The 6,000-nt window shown below is 40.1% G+C and overlaps 1 annotated feature.

Annotated features, from left to right (window-relative positions):
* Positions 785-1,605: an enhancer, noted in NCBI's record as "H3K27ac-H3K4me1 hESC enhancer chr2:133119050-133119870 (GRCh37/hg19 assembly coordinates)". NCBI's record gives its function as "activates a minimal SCP1, AML or CMV promoter by ChIP-STARR-seq in primed H9 embryonic stem cells {active_cell/tissue: H9 hESC(primed)}" and the evidence as "EXISTENCE:reporter gene assay evidence [ECO:0000049][PMID:30033119]".

The raw sequence follows: 6,000 nt of genomic DNA, 5'->3' as shown, positions 1-6,000 counted from the left end.
TGTTATATACAAAAAAATCCTATACGCTGAAAACAATACCTGTTAGAACTAATAGTTGCATTTAGCAAAATTGCAGAATACAAAATTAAGTGTATTTCTCTTCATTACACGGTACAATCCAAGTTTTTAAAATTCCATTGAAAATAGCATTAAGAAGAATATACTTTGGAATAAACAAGCAAAGAGATGTAAGACTAGTATACTAGAAGTTACAAGATGTTGCTGAAGAAAAGTCACAAACAATGGGGAAGATATTCTATATTTATAGATTAGACAATTGAAAAGATATCCCATATTCATAAATTAGAAAACAATATTCTTAAGTCTATACTAATGAAATCAACAACAGATTAAATGCAATAGCTATATAAATCATAACAATATTTACTTGCAGAAATACAAAATTCTAAAACATATGAAATCTCAAGATTGAAAATAGCCAATTAAACTTGTAAAATAATGTCAATTGTGGAGCCCTCACAATTTTTAAATCAAAAACTAATTGCAGTGCTGTTGAACTCTTTTCAAATGTGGTATTTTGAGGCCAGGTTCTATGGCTTACATGTGTAACCTCAGCACTTTGTGAGGCTGAGGTAGGAGGATTGCTTGAACCCAGGAGTTCAAACCACACTGGACATCCTAGTGAGAACATCCATCGCTAAAAAAAAAATTAAAATTAAAATTAACCTGGCAATGTGACGTGAACCTGTAGTCTCAGCTATTCCAGAGGCTGAAGTGAGAGGATTTTTTAAGCCTGGGAGAGCAAGGCTGCAGTGAGCCATGGTCGCACCAGTGCACCCCAGCCTAGATGACAGAGAACCTGTCTCAAAAAGTAAAAAGGAGAAAATCTAAAAAGAAATGTATTAAATCAAGACGTGTAGACATAGAAAATAATAGAGACCCCTCTCTCCACAAAACCTTGTATATATGGTCAAAATGATCTTCAACAAGGGTGCAAAGGCCAAACTATGGAGAGGGAATAGCCCCCTTTAACAAAAAACGGTATGAAGACTTGCTATCAACATGTAAAATACAGAAGTCAGAATTGTAGTTTATACTATTTTTTTTTAAAACTCAAAATGTGTAAGTCTGAAAGCCTTACACAAAAATATAAGGGAAAAATATCCAAAATTATGCCATGGAATTTGGCAATGGGTTCTTGACTGCCAGCAGCCCCACATCCCTGGAGCATCCATCCGCTCACCGCTGCCTGGTGCTGGGTCCTTCCACACCTGTCACACTGCTTTGTGCGGGGCTCTGAGGGGCACGAGCCAGGACACCAGGCCGAGCACAGGGCACAGGCCGGGCGTTCTCCGGCTATTCGAAGGCAGGCTGTCCCCGTGACAGCCTCAGGCGCAGGAGGGAGGACGGCCTGATTCGAGTCTGTGGAAGGAGGAAGAAGCTCGTTTCCTGAGCCAGCAGGGACACAGAGGCGGATGCGGGACACAGGGACACAGGGTGGTATGGCATATATTTTGAAACATGGCCACAATTTGAATAATTAGAGTGTTATGCTGAAACTGCACCAAAATTTATCATTCCAGTGACTACAGGGAATTTTTAATAGTTGTTATTTTTATAATAAAATTAAACTTTAATGAAATAACTGACTTTCAAACTTCAGCAAGAGGACAAATATTCAGCCAGAGGTATCAGTTCCCGGTTTCTGCTTCGGGTCCTCTCTGGTCTCCCACAGCCCCTCCTGCATCACCCAGGTCTAAGGGGCAACCTGCCCTGGCCTGTGTTCCCTCGTCCCTCCCCTTCCCCACCCAGATCCTGCAGTGCCTTCCTGGGGCAGGGGCAGCGAACCATCCAGAGCGGGAGGCTCCCTCGCCCAGGGCAGCACCGCTCCGCCCCTCTCCCCTCCTGCCCAGCCCCTGGCAAAGGAGTCACCTGGGCCTGGCCCGCTGCCCGCCCCCCAATGCCTGCCCTGTGCCTGCAACGGCGACGCTGCCAACAAGAGGTGCCAGAGACCGCGGCGCAAACCGCCCAGAGAGCAGGGTCCCACTCACCTGGGAGCGGGGGCACGTCCCTTCCGGTAGGCGATGGAGTTAAGATTGTTTCCTTATTTATTTTACTTAAAACTGGTAGAATGTTACTATTATATGAAGTACCCATGACTCTCTCAGTAAATTTGAGCAAACGTTTATTAGTTTTTGTCAGTTTAACTAGTTCTTTTATTTCTATTATTAAGGTGAAATTTAACTTCTATCTGAAATCAGTAAGATACAGAGAGATTTTAATGACAAGTGAATATTTTTTTCTCAGGGGGAACTGAATTATGAATTGAATGAATGAATTATGAATTAAATGAATGAATTTATTACCAAGGTAGAGAGGACACTAACCAATCGGTAGTTTTAATCAATATGTATTCCCTCCCCCCTCCCTCTTTGTTTTTTGTTTGTTTGTTTGTTTGTTTTTGAGACAGAGTTTTGCTCTGTCGCCCAGGCTGGAGTGATGTGGCGCGATCTTGGCTCACTACAACCTCCGCCCCCCGGGTTCAAGCGACTCTCCGCCTCAGACCCCGGAGTAGCTGGGATTACAGGCGCCAGCCACCATGCCCAGTTAATTTTTGTGTTTTCATTAGAGGCGGGGTTTCACCGTGTTGGCCAGGCTGGTCTCAAACTCCTGACCTCGGGTGATCCGCTCACCTTGGCCTCTCAAAGTGTTGGGATTATAGGCGTGAGCCACCAGTCCCAGCCCCTCCCACCCCTCTGTATTATGACCATGTGTACCCAGCTTTTAGCTCCCACTTATGAAAGAGAACATGCGGTATTTTGTTTATTGCTTTTGCATTAGTTTGCTGGAAACAATGCATCCATGTTGCTTCAAATGGCATAATTTTGAGTTTTTTCTGGCTGTATAGTATTCCATGAGTCTTTATCCAGACCACAACTGATGGACGCCTGGGTTAAGTCTATGTCTTTGTGATTGTGAATACTGCTGTGCTAAAAATATGGCTACATGTGTCTTTTTGGTAGGATATTTATTTTCTTTCAGGTATATACCCAGTAATGGGGTTACTGGGTTGAATGGTAGTTCAACTCTCAGTTCTTTAAGAAATCCCCAATCTGCTTTCCACAGTGGCTGAACTAATTTACATTCCTTCAGAAAGTGTGTAAGTGTTCTCTATTCTCTAAATCTTCACCAATATGTGTTTTTCTTTTGACTTTTCAAAAAAAGCCATTCTGACTGGTGTGAAATGGTATTTCATTTCGGTTTTGATTTGCATTTCTCTAATAAATAATGATGATGAGCACTTTTACATATGTTTGTTGGGTGCTTGTGTGTATGTCTTCTTTTGAGAAGTGTCTGTTCATGTCCTGTTGCCCACTTTTTAATGGAGTTACTTGCTGCTGCTTGTTGATTTGTTTGAGTTCCTTATAGGTTCTGAATAATAGACCTCTGTTAGATGCGTAGTTTGTGAATATTTTCTTTCATACTGTGGGTTATCTCTTTACTACCTTGATAGTTTCTCTTGTTGTGCAAAAGTTTCTCAGTTTAATTAACTACCACTTGTCAATTTTTGTTTTAGTTGCAATTGCTTTTGAGGACTTAGCCATAAATTATTTGCCATATGGAGAAATAGGAACACTTTTACACTGTTGGTGGGACTGTAAACTAGTTCAACCATTGTGGAAGTCAGTGTGGCGATTCCTCAGGGATCTAGAACTAGAAATACCATTTGACCCAGCCATCCCATTACTGGGTATATACCCAAAGGACTATAAATCATGCTGCTATAAAGACACATGCACACGTATGTTTACTGCAGCACTATCCACAATAGCAAAGACGTGGAACCAACCCAAATATCCAACAATGATAGACTGGATTAAGAAAATGTGGCACATATACACCATGGAATACTATGCAGCCATAAAAAATGATGAGTTCATGTCCTTTGTAGGGACGTGGATGAAATTGGAAATCATCATTCTCAGTAAACTATCGCAAGAACAAAAAACCAAACACCACATATTCTCACTCATAGGTGGGAATTGAACAATGAGAACACATGGACACAGGAAGGGGAACATCACACTCTGGGGACTGTTATGGGGTCAGGGGAGGGGAGAGGGATAGCTTTAGGAGATATACCTAATGCTAAATGATGAGTTAATGGGTGCAGCACACCAGCATGGCACGTATATACATATGTAACTAACCTGCACATTGTGCACATGTACTCTAAAACTTAAAGTATAATAATAATAAAATAAAATAAAAAAACAAGAAAAGTATTTCCTAGGATTTTTCTAGGCGTCTTATAGCTTGAGATTTTACATTTAACTCTTTAATCCATCTTAAGTTAATTTTTGTATTTGGTGAAATATGGGGGTCTAGTTTTATTCTTCTGCATATGACTAGCCAGTTATCCCTGCATTATTTATTAAATAAAAGTCTTTTTCCCATTGCTTACTTTTGTCAACTTTGTTAAAGATGTGATGGTTGCAGGCATGTGGCCTTAGTTTCTAGTACTCTAGTCTGTTCCATTGGTCTATGTGTCTGTTTTTCTACCAGTACCATGTTGTTTTGATTACTATAGTCTTCTAGGATAGTTTGAAGTCATGTAATATGATGTCTCTAGCCTATGTCTCTAGCCTTAGTATTGCTTTGGCTTGGCTATTCAGACTCCTTTTAGGTTCCATATAAATTTTAGATGTTTTCTATTTTGTGCAAAATGACATTAGTAGTTTGATAGGAAAAGCATTGAATCTGTAAATCGCTTTGAGCAGTATACTCATCTGCACGCAGATGATACTACAGTGTATGTTCTGTGGTTGATGAATGAAGTGTATTGTAATTCCAAATGGTCAAGCATTGAATTTAAATGCAGAATTTCTTTTTTTTTTTTTTTTTGAGACGGAGTCTCGCTCTGTCGCCCAGGCTGGAGTGCAGTGGCGCGATCTCGGCTCACTGCAAGCTCCGCCTCCCAGGTTCACGCCATTCTCCTGCCTCAGCCTCCCGAGTAGCTGGGACTACAGGCGCCCGCTACCACGCCCGGCTAATTTTTTGTATTTTTAGTGAGACGGGGTTTCACCGTGTTAGCCAGGATGGTCTCGATCTCCTGACCTCGTGATCCGCCCGCCTCGGCCTCCCAAAGAATTTCTTTATTAGTTTTCTGCCTCAATGATCTGTCTAACACTGTCATTGGGGTGTGTTCCAATCTGTGTGTTCCAATGTTGGCTGCATATATATTTAGAATAGACATATATTGCATATATATTTAGAATATATTTAAAATACATTTCACTTACTGGTACTTCACTCACTTTTATTAGCTGGATGCCATCATGGGGGCAGTTTGCCTCCATTCTCCTTCCCGGAATCTGGTGTGTCCTTCAAGATTCTGGTGGATTCCTTTTCTTCTTCTTAAATTAAAGCTCAGAGAGTTGACATTTATGCACTATTGTGCTATGTCCATGTGGCTGAAGCATGCTTAAAGTCTCTAATCCATCATCTTGAAAAAAAATTTAATCTAAATTTGAGTTTATAAAAGCAAAATTGTATATTTTATTAAGTGGTTGTTATTCTCGAGCTAAAAGATTAATCTCATAAATACACATATTTATCTTCAGTGCCAGAACCAAAAAATTAATAGGTGCCACCAACACGTATCAGCACAGTCATATTGTTTGTGTTTTACTGTCATTTTGGACACAAGAATAATAAGAAAAAAACTGACTTTAAGACACAATGGTATCTACATTATAAGAATTGTAGTAGTTGGCTCAAAAACTGGTGTCTTTCTCCAATGGGTCTCCGGAGGTAGTTGGAGCTAAGCTTGGACAGAAGAACACCAAGGTTCCCATGCATTGGAGTTGAGAGATAACAAAAGACACAGTTAAATTTGAACTTCAGATAAATAATAGATAAAAGTTAGTGTATTTATAAAGTATTGCATATACATATTGCATGCAAGTATGCAGATATCATAATAGAAAAGTATTATTTTTTTCAGAATCTTGAACTTAAGTATATTCTATATGACTA

The sequence above is a fragment of the Homo sapiens genome, chromosome 2 (assembly GCF_000001405.40).
Source record: "Homo sapiens chromosome 2, GRCh38.p14 Primary Assembly".
Taxonomy (NCBI): Eukaryota; Metazoa; Chordata; class Mammalia; order Primates; family Hominidae; genus Homo; species Homo sapiens.
This window is presented reverse-complemented; position numbering and strand designations above follow the sequence as displayed.